The sequence below is a fragment of the Homo sapiens genome, chromosome 2 (assembly GCF_000001405.40).
Source record: "Homo sapiens chromosome 2, GRCh38.p14 Primary Assembly".
Lineage (NCBI taxonomy): Eukaryota > Metazoa > Chordata > Mammalia > Primates > Hominidae > Homo > Homo sapiens.
In genome coordinates this window covers 66,523,940-66,538,964 of record NC_000002.12, presented here as the reverse complement: position 1 = coordinate 66,538,964, position 15,025 = coordinate 66,523,940, and the positions used below count along the sequence as shown (strand labels likewise).

At 39.6% G+C, this 15,025-nt stretch overlaps 1 protein-coding gene across 1 annotated transcript in view, besides 6 other annotated features; it reads right to left on the bottom strand.

The window, feature by feature from the left end:
• The window catches only part of MEIS1 (Meis homeobox 1), a 138,745-nt gene that overhangs the window by 34,905 nt on the left and 88,815 nt on the right, over positions 1-15,025 (bottom strand). The window lies entirely within an intron of this gene.
• Positions 1,009-3,582: an enhancer, named in NCBI's record as "HCNR617 enhancer in MEIS1". NCBI's record gives its function as "enhancer in: forebrain[4/5]" and the evidence as "EXISTENCE:transgenic organism evidence [ECO:0001131][PMID:17130149]".
• Positions 1,247-2,190: an enhancer, noted in NCBI's record as "HCNR617". NCBI's record gives its function as "enhancer in forebrain, hindbrain, retina, spinal cord, midbrain" and the evidence as "EXISTENCE:transgenic organism evidence [ECO:0001131][PMID:24642863]".
• Positions 1,366-2,082: an enhancer, noted in NCBI's record as "E8 enhancer". NCBI's record gives its function as "enhancer in anterior and posterior lateral mesoderm" and the evidence as "EXISTENCE:transgenic organism evidence [ECO:0001131][PMID:24022755]".
• Positions 1,487-2,079: an enhancer, noted in NCBI's record as "OCT4-NANOG hESC enhancer chr2:66764018-66764610 (GRCh37/hg19 assembly coordinates)". NCBI's record gives its function as "activates a minimal SCP1, AML or CMV promoter by ChIP-STARR-seq in primed H9 embryonic stem cells {active_cell/tissue: H9 hESC(primed)}" and the evidence as "EXISTENCE:reporter gene assay evidence [ECO:0000049][PMID:30033119]".
• Positions 1,769-1,808: a protein binding site, noted in NCBI's record as "CREB site; may be affected by polymorphism at rs12469063". NCBI's record gives the evidence for it as "EXISTENCE:protein binding evidence [ECO:0000024][PMID:24642863]".
• Positions 11,499-12,927: an enhancer, noted in NCBI's record as "HCNR606". NCBI's record gives its function as "enhancer in midbrain" and the evidence as "EXISTENCE:transgenic organism evidence [ECO:0001131][PMID:24642863]".

Genomic DNA, 15,025 nt, shown 5'->3' with positions numbered 1-15,025 from the left:
AGTGAGCCGAGATCGCGCCACTGCACTCCAGCCTGGTTGACAGAGTGAGACTCCTTAAAAAACAAACAAACAAAAAAAAAAAAAAAACTCTTTTAAGGATCATAGAATCAAATGCCTACTATTTCCTCTAACCACACTACAATATGCCTTCAATTGTCAGCTTTGAAACAAATTGGGATTTGAAACAAATTGGGGTGTGTGTTTCGCCAATTACTTTTGTTTATTACATGATTCTTAATCAAATATGAGTTAAATGACATTCAAAATCATTACATTTTAGTAGACTACTAATAAAAACATATGAATGCTATTCCCAGTGATGATGCAGCTACCAGTTCTGTGCCCAATAAATATTTCTGTGAATGAATGTTATTAAAGTTAGAGATGACTAAAATCCCTCAACCTGCATTTGTGAGTAGGAGTAGATGACTTCAGATAAACACAAAACTAGCAGCTCCATTCCAACAATTATTCATCCTTCTCACTTAGTTCAACAAATCCCAGAATAGTAGAGTGCCTAGTCCAGATTTTGCTCACTTTATTTACCTGACATTTATATAATGTTTACTGTATGTTGGGCAGCGTTCTCAGAGCTTTAAGTATTTACTTATTTAATCCTTAAAACAAGTCTCTAAGATAAGTACTCTTACCATTATTTTACAGAGGACACTGAGGCTCAGAATCTAATTTACTGGCAAGTAAAATAGAGCTGGGATTTGACTCTAAGTAGTCAATTGCACAGCCTATGCTTTTAATTACTGTGTTATTCTGCTTTTCTTTCTTAGCGTCAATTTATAATTTCCCCCAAAGTTTCTCCCAAATTCACTCTATGTTGTTCTTGGGTTTATTTGTGACAAAATTCCCTTCCTACTCTCTAACTTCAATGCAACAAAATTCAAGTTCTGTATCTTTATGCCTAGCACAGGACAGAAGAAAGGATAAAGAAGACTGTTTCAACATGGAGGCTTTTCCCCAAGAATTTCACTTGAACATGCACAACAAAAACATGGCACACTATACTGGACCACCTTTCTGAAAAGAAAGTTCATGACTGATTTATACAATAAACTCCAATAAAGTAAGGATCTTTTTCAAACTATGTATAGCCCATCTCTACAATTTCAGAGAGCACGTCAGCTAAAAGGAGACCTAACACCAGCCTGAAGAACACTTTTCCACTTTAAAAATCAAAGAGAAAGGATTTTGAAACCATTAAGTAGAAAGACAAGGAAGATGAAATACTACAACGCCATTTTGGAATGAGTCTGTTGACAGCAATCATTATTGCCTTTACAGATGCCCTGTCTAGCATTAATTATTCAGGAAAAATCCTTGTCTAAAGAATAAAGTATCCGTAAGTTAGAAGCAAAATGGTACATTTGGTGAGGAGATATTTTTGAGAGAGAAAAAGATAGAGACAGGGAGAATGAGATGGAGAATTCGTGCTGCTCCCAATATGACTAAAGACCCCTGGAACTGGTACCCATTCTCTAGTGCTAATTTTCCCACTTAAATTACAGTGATGATGTAGCCTCATCTCATTAGAGATCATTGTCCCCAGTAGACAGTTGTGTTTATGGGGGACTCTGGCTGCTCCACACCTGCTGATCAGGTTGCTATGTGATCAAGACGGCATACAAACAGCAGACTGGAGCTTGCTGGACTGCAACTGATGAGCCCAGGCTAATTCAGGGGTGATTATGTAGTTTACTGGACCACTAAACCTCTTTAAGCTTGTAATTACTGCCTATTTGAGTAAAGAACATTCAAAAGCAATTCACTGCATCATGCCTGCCACAGCTGGAAGCAGGCTGCCAGCAGTCTGTAGGGACATTAAAATCTACAGGGACGTGGATTGAAGCCCAGCTAACAGACACTCTCAAGCAGCACCCTCAGCCAAGTATGTGAACATTCCTGCTCACCTCTCCTGACCAAGCTTACCATTAAAGGTCAATGAAAACTATAGAATAGCCATAAAGATGACAAATAATGGAATGTAATGGTACAAACCACATTTTAATGATTTCCCCCCTTTGTAAAGCTAAAATTTAAAAAGTCTTCACAATGCCAGAGAGAGAGAGAGAGAATGCACTTTAAATAATATACACTGCTGAGATGTACTGTGTGCTTGCTAAAAGTTCCATCCCAAAGATACCAGCTTGAAAACAAAATGCCCACTTTTTATGCATTATAAAAGAACTGGTATGTATAGTCGTTTTAGACATTTTCCACCCACTTAGCTGCTGTTTATAACCTTAGCTGGGAAAATATTGTTTAGCTAGTTGATTGACATTTTCTAAAATCATATGTGTAGATTTTTGCAGTTAATGAATTAAAAGGCCTCTCAGACACCTGAGTGAAATTTATTTTCAAGAGTCAGAGAAGATTTAAGAAAAAAAAATCAGTATTTATCAATGTTCTCATTTTCTTTTGCTGTCACCTTAACAACCGCAGTTCTTTTGTATAACAAAAGTGTAAAACATGCTTTGCATTGCTACGGGTATAATTATTACTTGTCTCTAAGTAACAGAAAAAGACTGGAACTTAATGAAGGGGGATTAAGTTAATTTCTTTTTTAGCTAACAGTTTCCTGTCTCTTAAAATGCAGACCCTGGTGAACATAATGTTTGGGAAGACAAAATTAAGCTTTTTATTTGACTAAAATCTCCACTCTGGAATATTGATATTAAAATATTAAGATGATGTTTATTCTTTAAAAGTATGTAAATTTGGTATTAAATAAAGCCACAGAAATCCTCTCTGACTACTCCATCCAAAGTCCACAGATCCCGGGGTTTATGTGTTATCTAGACATCACTCCTATTAATATTCATTAGATGGGTCTGCTTGCATTTTTATAAGCTGTGAGAGAGGCAAAAGAAACAATCAGAATTCTTTAACACACAGGCATTATCAATTCAACATATGCCAAATAGCAGAGCACCCAGATCTGAAGTTAAGATTCAAATGCAATTTACCTTTACTAAGCTAATTTTCATGAAAACTCTTTTCTCTTTATCCATTGTTGTCTAAGCTATTTAATTTTCTCTATTCTGTGCACCATGCACTTCAGTTTTTAATTTCAGAGATTATTCAGCACTATATTTTATCTTAGTTAACAACAAAACTCTTATCTTGCAATCAAACTAAAGGGAATTCCCCCTTAAGAAGAAAAAAAAAATCTAAAAACTTTAAATGGTTTTAGTGATCAGATTACCTTTATCTTTATGAACCTTCTTAAGCAAACCCTTTCCAACTCCCGAAAGCATTTATTGATGTGAATTCACTGTCTGTCTCCAGAATGGATTATAGATGAGGGAAGAGTCTTAGTCAAAATTTGGGCAGATCCACCGTATTTGTTTCCCAAAGTACACTTTCCTCATTAAATCTAACTGGGCTGGGGGCAGGGAGGTGCGGATGCCGGCACAGATGTGGACTTATTTCTGCAGGGTTATCACAAATGTTCATGGAATATCTTAGATGAGTGGGAGAAGGCTCGACCTGTCACCAACAAGACTGTGAGATAAAGTTGGCAAAAATATATTTCATCAAAGTTAACTTGAAGAATAGTTTGGGCTTTTTTTTAAGACTTTGAGAAGGGTGATCCCTTATATTTGTATATAGCTTTACATTTTCAAAGAGGTTTTATTATATTTTGCCAAGTTTGAACCTCACAATTACTGGTGAAGTTAGAATAGGTAATGTTGCCCTCATTCTATACAAGAGAAAACAAAATTTAGAGTGGACACATGGCAAGATATACAGGGTTACGTGGCTGGGAAGTTGCTGGCCCTAAGGCCTCCTACTTCTCTATCTAGTTGTCTTTACACTCTACTGAAGCTCAAAGTTTATCTTGTTAATGATAAAATAAAAAGCTGTAGCTTCATCTGTCAGAAACCTACTGTGAGTTAGTTGACCCAGCCTCTGTTTTAACGTGTAAATGTGTACTGCCCAGGATGAAACAAAGAACTAAACTAAAACTTAAACTAAAATCAAACAAAACCATCACCTTTTAAATTAGCTGCCATCATTCCTAATGAACTTATATACATAATCTTACTGGTAATGCCAAAAAGTCTTAAATAGTGACATTTGCCCCTTCTAAAACATGCTTTGGGAAAGAAATGTCCTTATCCAGTGAGGATTGATTCGTTTGTTCCTCTTTGAAACAACTAGATATAGTTTTGCTTTATGTAATGTGTTTTTCTTTGCCATTCCACTTGTGACTTAAGGTTGCTAATTACACAAAGAAGGGCCTAGTTTTCCCTTCCTAAATGAGTTCTTAAGAAAACTTAGGCCTATGTGGAGAGTCATAAGCCCGTTTAGCCCAGGAACGTGGTCATGAAGTCCATTCATGCTTCAGTGATGTGGTTACACATTTACAAATGGCAAATCTAAAGGAAAACATTTTAAAAGAATTTTTTTTTTTTTAAGACAGAGTCTCACTCTGTTGCCCAGGCTGAAGCGCAGTGGCACAATCTTGGCTCACTGCAACCTCTGCCTCCCAGGTTCAAGCAATCCTCCTGCCTCAGCCTCTCAAGTAGCTGGGAATACAAGCATGCTCCACCATGACGAGCTAATTTTTATATTTTGAGTAGAGACGGGGTTTCACCATGTTGGACAGGCTGGTCTCAAACCCCTGACCTCGTGATCCGCCCGCCTTGGCCTCCCAAAGTGCTGGGATTACAGGTGTGAGCCACTGCGCCCGGCCCAAAAATTGGTTTTAAGAGGTGTAGTTCAGTGTATCAATTTAGTTAGATAACTAAAGTTAAGTCCTTAGAACCCACAGTAACTATGACTTTGATCAACATTTCAGATCTCCAAGCCTTGCTTCCTCATTGGTAAAATGAGGATAATCACGCTGGTGGTGGTCAAATGAGACAACACGCATCAAATTGCTTAGCATAGGGTCTGGCATATATTTAGAGACTAGTAAACAGTAGCTGAATCTGAGATGACTCTTAAGATTGGGCTAATCTATGTAAAAATACATAAAATGCATACAGTTCTCAATTTGCAGGGAAGAAGATATGACTAGATAATTCTTCTAAATTTATTTTTACTGTTAAATTAGATTTTAATGTTTTCTTGTAATTCTCTTTATTTGGACAAACTTGCTTCCAAGATCTCTGAAGGCAGGGCAGCTTCATGGGTGTGCTGCCTGTAAGTGACACAGGGACCCCCACATAGACGGGCCCCATGCTTGACTTAATGTGCTGCTGTCACGATCTTGAATTTTTTTTTAAGAAGCCCTGCACAATTTATGAGGAGAATTTACACATTCTCCACAAATTACGCAATGGGTCCCATTAAAAGGAAAAGAGGCTATGTTTTCCCTATTAGATGTTTTATGCTTAGCTACAACTTCTCTTGAGTTTATTTGAGCTTCACAGAAGTAAATAAATAATTACTAGATTCTAACTTAAAGAGTGTTAAAAAAAGACACTATAAAAGCAAGATATAGAGGTGACACTGACAGTGTAGATGTGCTCAGGCCTCAGACAGATGAGTAAGGACACTTCAATGACCCTCCAGTGGCCTTCAAGGGGTCACACATTGCTGTAAGTGCCTAAGTCACCCTCGGGGACTGACTAAGGCACTGAGAAAATATTCTATATTATAAAGTCTATGGGGGAAAAATAATCAATAATAATCGGGATCCTTCAAGGTGTGAGGCCCATTCTGGCTCAGTGGACTTAGGAATGTTGAGAGCCTTTGTCTTTTGGTGGTTGGAAGTCAGAAGTGGCAATTCGCCCACCTTTCTTGGCAGGGGACGAGCACCACATTTGGCAGAAAAGTGTGCTCTCGAGAAAAGGGAGCAGAGGATCTTTTGGCCTGAGCTCCAGCTAGGATAGATCAAGAGTGAGAACTCGCCCTTGCATGCCAACCAAATGCTGCTGTAATTAAAAACAAACCTTTGGAAATAAAGTATTCGGAAATTATTTCAATTCTAGCACAGTCACAATACGAGCTCATCAATGGTTATAATTAATTGATTTGATGGCAGGATTTTGGATAAAAAAAACTGTCTTCTTTTTTAGTTCTCTTAAACAGAATTCTACTTTTTGTTAAAGGAGAGCCAGATAAATATATATATATGCAGACTAAAGAGAGAAATATATGTCATGTCATACAGTTTCAGAAGCCTCCAGCACATTTGGATTCTGTAGCTCACATCAAACCTGCTAAGATGGCAACACCAATTTTTAAAAATGCAAAATTCCATCATTTTGATGATGCCAAATGAGGAACTCGACTATTACATGCATATATTTTGTTTAATGGCTTCATTTATTTTAATAACAAAGGGAAACTAGATTTTACAGATGAAAGCTGTTTTTTTTTTCATGGCATCAAGGCAACTGGGATTTAAAAACTCTGTGATGTTAACCAATATGTGATAATGGATGCTCTCAGGGGCCCTATTTTATAACATTTTATGCAGTGGAAACCCACACTAACTACTGCCAGAGTGTTTACCCCTATTTTAAGAAGGCACAATTGGGGTGAGTGTCAGAGGGCCTTGTGATTGTTCCATGCTTTTGTGTTTTTTTTTTCTCTGAAAGGATACATGTTCAGTAAAGTGCTGGCTGTGGAAATACTGCAGCAACAGAATTAACTCACTAAAGATTTATTATAAATGAGGGAGGAAAGTGCTGTTCATGTGATTTCAGGGATAAGAAAATAATTGCATAGACCTCTTTTTCCCTGTTCAAAAATCTGCCTACGGGGTTTAATATTTTGTAGAGAATCGAAAAAATAAATCACAGCAAGTAACTTCAGTTTAATTCTTGTTGGATTTCTTCATTATACTGACTATCTATGGTGAATCAGGAAACCAGAAACTCATCAAAACTAATTCCCATAGGAACAGAAGACACTCCACCTCAGAACCTCCCTTTTACCCACTAAAACTGGTTATAACTAGTTTCAGAAAAAAAAGAAAGAAATACATGCAAAGGACATCTGGTCCACCCAAAATTCTGGTTAGATGATGCAAACCAAAAGGTCTGCGATGATTTTTTTTTTTTTAACTGAGAGCCATACCTACCAAACTCTAGTATACAACAGATGGAACTTGCCAGCCACACACAGGATGTCGAGTGATTTTACAGACACTGTCTTGGCTCAAGATGGCAGCTCATGATTAATGGCCGCCGCATCCTTGGCCCTGCTGCAGTCAGGCCTGGGGTCTCATCCTGACACACAGGGCCTTCGTCCGCAGCCAATCAGCAGATGTAAGCACATAGGCCCTGTCAAGTTGACATATCATTCCTTCGGCAATGTCAGCGAGTATTAATGTTCAATTATCTGTCCTAGAAATGACCCTCGCCTTTATGCGTTGTGTAACCGTGTACGTGGCACTCCCAAAGACAAGGGCAGAAATGTCCGCAATACACCAGCTACCAGGGAGTTGGTTTTCCAACACTGTCATGACATTGCCTTACAGTACTGAATAGGAAACCAATTTTTAATTTGTTTTCTAATACATGTTTGAAGGACTACTGAGCCCTTTATTTATTTCGCTACTTAGCTATTTTTCTGTGAGCATGTTTGCTTGTCAGTAGTCCTTCCTATTTAAACAGAGACTTCACATGAGTCATCTGTGACCTGATGATCACACTGAGCTAACTGTTCTTTGTATATGGTGATGAGTGTTCATTATGTGTAGGGTACCATTTTATTTCATGAAGCCAATTGTATATCATTTACCATCAAACCAAAATGACAACAGTAGACTCTTCTGGAGCAGTGTCAAGATCAATTCAACTTCAACTTGTGAAGCTAAAGTAGTCTGTTCAAGCCAGTCATCTCTCCTTCCCATTGCTAAAAATAAGGCTTCCAGCAGAGGAAGGTTTACCAGAACATATCTGAGATTGTTCACCTGTTAACGTGTACAGTTGCTCAGATATTTTACAATGTTGTGTGGATTTGTCTTAATTAAATTTAAAACTCCCCTTTTCTCTCAAATCACATGGCAAGAAAAAAAATTTATCTTAGCAGACAGCTGCATTTGCATGGTTTTTGTTGAACTCACATGCAAAGGTTATCAATAACAACTTTGCAAACTTCTTATACAACCAGTACTGAAAGATAATGTACAATAACTGCATGTTAACTTCCTCCAAAGCTGAGATAAAACCTTTAATGCAATCTTGAGTTCACTAACCTACATATGATGGCACAAACTTCAGTGACTCAGACTGGGGCTCAATGAATGTTCCCCATGGTACTAATTTTTTTTTTTTGAGTTGGAGTCTTGCTCTGTCACCCAGGCTGGAGTGCAGTGGCGCAATCGCGGCTCACTGCAAGCTCCGCCTCCCAGGTTCACGCCATTCTCCTGCCTCAGCCTCCCGAGTAGCTGGGACTACAGGTGCCTGCCACCACGCCCGGCTAATTTTTTTTGTATTTTTAGGAGAGACGGGGTTTCACCGTGTTAGCCAGGATGGTCTCGATCTCCTGACCTTATGATCCGCCCGCCTCGGCCTCCCAAAGTGCTGGGATTACAGGCGTGAGCCACCGTACCCGGCCCCATGGTACTAATTTTTAAGGAATAGAAAATGGAATTATTTTCCTGTGGAAAACCACTAAGAATTCATCTATTACCTTCATTTTAACATGTGAAAAACAGATTGATTATGAAATGTGCCTGTTAAAAGTCTAGCCAGTCCTTGGTCACAGTGTGGTATCTAGTGCTACTTCTATATGTATTCTCAACTACACTCTGAAAGTCTTTTTATCTTTTCTTCTTTCCTTTTTTTTTTTTTGCTTTGCCTACTGTGTTCCCAACAGCAATTTTTCCAAATGACTTCCATTCTCCTCCAGCTCCTAATCCCACTTCTTGGACATTCATCAGTTAACTTTGCCTCCAGCCTGCTAAAAGATCCAGGAGGAGAATAGCAGCCTTCTTCATTTCTAAATTTCTCTGACTTCTTCCTTATTGCTATGTTCTTACTCTGAGTCCCATCACCCTCCCCTCCACTGTCTGCCTGCCCTTGATTCTTGCTTCATTAATCAGTCCCTTTCTACTTTGATCTTCAAAGGTCTCTATTGCCTAAGTAAGTAAGTAGGCTATGCATTAACAAATTGCATGGAACATAGTAGCAATTCCAGGAAAGATAGCTGAATTCAATTGTATATGTAAACATATTCAAATATCCTTTCTCCTAAATATTAAAAAAGAAAAGAAAAACCATGCCTTCTTGTTACCACTTCCTGAAGCTTCTGTCTAAAGTATATCCTTTAGTATATTTCCTCAAGTGATTGCAAAAGGATCTACCTTTGCTGCCTCCACTGCAGTATCATCATATGCCTCATAATACAACTTCTTCTCTTCCAAATGCCTCAAACAGCTTAAAAAGTTAGCCAGTGTGGTGGCATGTGCCTACAGTCCCAGCTACTCAGGAGGCCGAGGCAGGAGGATTGCTTTAACCTGGGAGGTGGAGGCTGCAGTGAGCCAAGATTGCACTGCTGCACTCCAGGTTGGGCAACAGATTGAGACCCTATTTCTAAAAGAAATAAGAAGAAGTAGATAAACAAATAAATGACAAAAGTCACTGATGATATCCTAACCCCTGTATCAGGATCTTTTCCAGCCTTTCTACTTTATAAAGCTCCCAGAGTTTGGTCATTTCTGTTTTGCAACTGTACTCATTGCTTTGGTCAATAAATAATATCAAGCATCTATAGTACAGCTCTGAAGATGTACAGAGCAAAGATTAAATCCTGACCTCTAGATAGAAAGGCACAGCATAAATAAACAGTCACTATGATAAGCACTCCCTATCAGAGTCTCATCAAGGTGCTGTGGACCTGGGGGCAGGGGCCACTTTCCCTCTCCTGGGGAAAACAACAAATGGCTTCCCCAAGCAGTGACAATTGTACTAAGATGTGAAGGATGTGGAGGAAAGTGTCAAGTAGAGAAGGGGTCATGGAAGTGATGTATCTCAGGTGAGGGAACAGCATGTAAGGTGCACAGAGGACAAGACTGTGCAGCACTGATGGGGAGCTGTAAGCCCTCAGCTTGGCTGCAGCATGGCATGCATGGGGAGCCTGTATGAAAATGGTGAGAGAGGCGCCAGGGCACCAGTGTCAGACCTCAAGGGGTCCTTGAGTGGCACACCACGGATGTTTGTCTCATATCCTACGGGTAGTAGGGAGATATCAAAGGATTTTAAGTAGGAGGAGACTTAGCCAAGTTTTGTTTTAGAAAAACTGTGTCAAAATAAGGGATGGTTTATAAGGGACCAATGTTAGAGGCAGGAAGGCTGGGGAACGAACGGAGAAAGCTGGAGACATAGAGGACTGACCTGTGGCAGTGGCAATGGAGCTAGGTGGGAAGAAGAATGGAGAAGTGTTTAGGAGAGAGAATTGATGGGACTCAGGGATGAGCAACTGCCTGTGAAGGGGGAAGGAGAGGAACCTTCCAGGATGACTCCTGGGTCTCAGCTGAGTTGGAGTTTCTGGGTCTATGGTGATGTCATGAACTGAGACGACGCTGACAGCAAGGAGAGCCAGTTTGGGAGCCATGATGGATTTAGTGTAGGGAATGGATTCTTCGACTTTCTTACCACTGTACCTTCCTTGCTTTTATTAGAATAATAAAGCATTGGAGCTGGAAGGGACCCAGAAATTAATTCATGCCACCTCTGTATTTGACAGAGACCTGTCTGTCTGTTCGTCTCTCCTTCTCTAGGTTTTTCCTCCAGACAGCCTTCAGAAATAATAATCCCCCAAATTCTATCTTTGGCCTCCTCCTTTTCTCTCTTGGCACTCTCTGGATCTATGACTCTATATACATCTCTAGTGTCTGTGGTGGTAACTGAAAGAATGTTTCTATTTATGAGGTACAGATTTACCTCCAACATATCTTGTACTCATTCATTTCTTTGTACTCCCACAGCACAGCCTTCTTACCCAAACTGTTATAGCTGTCTTCTGACTGTTCTGTTCACTCCAGCTTTCTATAAACTGCACCAGAGATTAGATCCATGCCCTTTTCAAACATCATAGAACGTTCCGGATGTATATGGTTCCTTGTACATAGTAGGCCCTCAAAAAACATTTGACTTTCTTGGAAAAAACTTTTAATGACCCCATTTATATTGCAATTCAAAGATAAGTTAGATGTGGCCTAAAGTTTTGCCATGATTTATGGTGGGTAACATAACAAGCAGGTTTGAAAGTTGCTTTTTCCTGCAGTGTGGTGGGATTAAGTCATCATATCATGGAAACTATTCTAGCCATCTCTCCTCAAACCAAAAAGCATAAGGTATTCATAGATAAAGGCCCTAATGCCAGCATGATCCCTGTCTCCCCCCCAACACACACACACACACACACACACACACACACACACACACACACACACACTTGCTTTTACTGCAATACAGGTATCAGAGCCACAGAGATCTCTAGGGACAGCAAAGGGGCTACACAGGGGCCCCCAGCTCTGGTTGACCATACAGCAGTTGTGATTGCTCTGGAATAACTGTGTCAAAGGCATGACTCTGATGAGGCTATGTGGACTTCTGCCTCCATTCTCATTAGTTCTAGTCAACTGTGTATGCAGGACAATTTCAAGAACAATAACAAGTCATAATTTTAAGTGTCAGGGTATGGAAGTGGTAAGCTCCAGGAAGTTGAAATTTATGGCCCTGAGTTTTGTTTCCAGTCCCAACTTCATTGTACACTAAGATGGCTGTTAGATCTTTAACCTTTTCTGTCCCAGTTCCTTCATCTGTGAAATGGGGATACAATTATTAATTGTAAGATCACATGCAAGTTGACTATTAAATAACAATTAATAATCTTTTAAAATAAAATAGGATACTTGCTTGCTGTCTGACTTTTAGAAATTCAAACGTATGCTATTTCATGCATGTATATTTGGCCTTTTTTCCCTTGCAAATTCACCCCACAGTTTTTTCGGTCTCTTTTGAACGAAGTGATGAATGTTGCTGAGTGCTCGTGGTGTCTGGTCCAATATGAACATCTTTCAGGAAGTAAGTCCTGAGCACCTGTCATTTTGGTAATTGATGATGTTTTCACTTCAAGGTGTGGGCCTGAGACTCACAGGGCTCAATGAGAGAAGTAAATGAATTGATTTGACTATATCTCTTGCCCACCACTTCTGATACCGACAAATGTACTTCAGTCTTATTAAGAGGGGGTAGCTATATGTATGTATATATATGTTTGACAATGGTTAAGCAATGCCTTTATTTTATTTAGCAAATTAAAATGCTTGGTTTGTCATTTTAATTCTTTGTGAAAATTTGGTCTTCACTAAACTTACCATAAATTATAAATGCCTACACCCAAACAAAGAGTAGTCTACAATGCCATCAGAGGTCTGTCTCTTCGCTTCTTAATTTTGATTTCTAGCTCCCATGGCTTCCAGAATAGAAAGCATGCAGGGGCACACCACACATACTGTATTTCAAATGGAGATTTTATGTAAGCTTATTTTTATAGTGATTCCAAGAGTCGCTGCTCTGCTTTTTATCTATGCAAACTGGAAATAAAGTAGGCACCCTGCCAGCTCCCTGACAGCAGGCCAGGCCCGGCCTGCCATGGGTGACTTGCACAATGACATCTAAGGGGTCCAGAAAAGAACCCTGACTAATGGCTTTTGGATTCCTTATGACCTTTGATCCTCAATGACTTAGACCAAAGTAAATGACCTAATTTCAAGAAACTACATCTAGCATGTGAACTCTAATGAGTGAGAGAATTTACCTGCTAAGCAATGATTAATAGGTATGCACTACTTATAATAATTCCTTAGATCTTAGCCACACTGGAGGAAATATACTTTTCAGATACTCACTTTTGAAAGCAAATTCACCTTCCTTCCAGGATGCTGCGAAATTTGAGAGTGACAGTGCCCATGGCAGATAAAGTACACAAGGCAGTGGGAATACAAAAGGATCTCCTGGAGCAGACATAAAGTAGGCAAGAAGTGTGAGGCACAAACGCAGTTCTCCCTCAAACATATGTGTTGTTTCTGCAGTGAGTGATTCTGTTACTTTCTTACTGACAAAGGCTACCTGATCTGCAGAGCCTCTGCAGGAGTCTAGGAGCTAGCATGCCACACACACTGCCCTCACTCCATGATAACTTCCGTCGCTGCATATTGTCACCAGAGCACTGAAGCTATGAAGATGTTTCCTTGTGGTGGAGGTGAACCACAACATTCTGTATCATGGGACCTTCAGGGCTACCCCTCCACCCACCCGAACACACAAGTGTACTGTCAACAAGCCCAGAAGAAACAGTCTGTCTTTCTGCAGAGCCCTGCGTCTATCAGAAGCTTTCAGAGTACTTGAGGGATCCAATGAAAGTGCTTTGATATTCAAAAGGAACTTCTTATATGCTTAAAAAACATTGAAAGTTGGCAGAGAAAAAATAAAACATTTTGTCAAACTAATATGATAAAAACAATGGGGTAAGCTTCAAAATCAGGGGGGCAAAATCAAAGTATAAAAATCAAAGAGAAAAACAATCATCTTTCCATTTAAAATCTGTCATCTTGCTTGTGTACCTTAGATCCTTTCTATGCAAGCTGCAGTCTGTGGACCAGCAGCACCAGCAGCAATAGGAGCTTGCTGAAAATGCAGAATCTCAGGCCCCAACCCTCTCAATCAGAATCTACATTTTTAAAAAGATCCAGATAATTTAAATGCATGCCATAGCTTAAAGAGCACTGTTTTTGTTTGTTTGTTTGTTGTTTTTTGTTTGTTTGTTTTTGAGACAAGGTCTCACTCTGCCGCCCAGGATGGAGTGCAGTGGAGTGATCTTGGCTCACTGCAACCTCCACCACCTGGGCTCAAGCGATTTTCCTGCCTTAGCCTCTTGAGTAGCTGGGACTACAAGCGTGCCCCGCCACACCAGGCTAAGTTTTGTATTTTTGTAGAGACAGGGTTTCACCATGTTGCCCATTGAATTCCTGGTCTTGAATTCCTGGGCTCAAGCAATCTGCCTGTCCTGGTCTCCCAAAGTGCTAGGATTACAGGCATGAACCACTGTGCTCAGCCAAGGAGCACTGTTTTTAAAGAAGCAAAAGAATTTTCAATTCTGTAGTAATTTTCATTTTCTAGTTTTTCAGGTGATAGACTTTCACTTTTTTAAAGTTACTTGTTATACCTCAGTTAAAACTCCAGATGTGTTCATTGTTAAATCACATGATAAATTTGACAAGTTCGGAGAAATGTTGTAAATATTTTCATGAAATATTTGTGTAAAATACTTGTGTGAAAAAAAATTTAAAGGCTTCTATTTAGAACCTAAATAATCACTGTACTTCTTTTCATCATACCAACTTAGCAATGTTTCCAATGATATGACTTATCACAATATCACCTTTTTTTTTAATTTTTTAAATTTTATTTATTTATTCATTTTGAGACAGGGTCCCACTCTGTCGCCCAGGCTGGAGTGCAGTGGTGCAATCTTGGCTCACTGCAGCCTAACACACCTGGGCTCAAGTGATCCTCCCACCTCCTCCCAAGTAGCTGGGACTACAGGCATTAGCCACCACACCTGGCTAATTTTTTAACTTTTTGTAGAGATGGGGTTTCATCATATTGTCCAGGCTGGTCTTGAACTCCGGGGCTTAAGCAGTCTTCCTTCCTCAGCCTCCCAAAGTGCTGGGACTACAGGCAACAGCCACTGCTCCTAGCCACAATATTACCTTTACATACTGATTTTCAAAACCCAGAGTCAGGCTGGACCATGCCTGCTTTGTCATGAGCAAGGAAGGTAGTTGAGCAATTATTGTCTAAGTTCAGACAGCACAAGAAGGTAAACAGGACACTTCAAGCCAGCAAAACTCTTTTTCTCTCCAACAAAAGGCACCTTCTCCTCCAATGACCAGGATAATAACTTTAACCTCATTTTATTTCGATCATAAGAGCAAATTTTGGTCTCTGACATGCAAGTACATTTGGCCTTGCTTCTCTCCTTGCCTTCCTATCTCTGGTAGTCAACAAATCAACATTTTGACTGTATTTAAATTATTTAT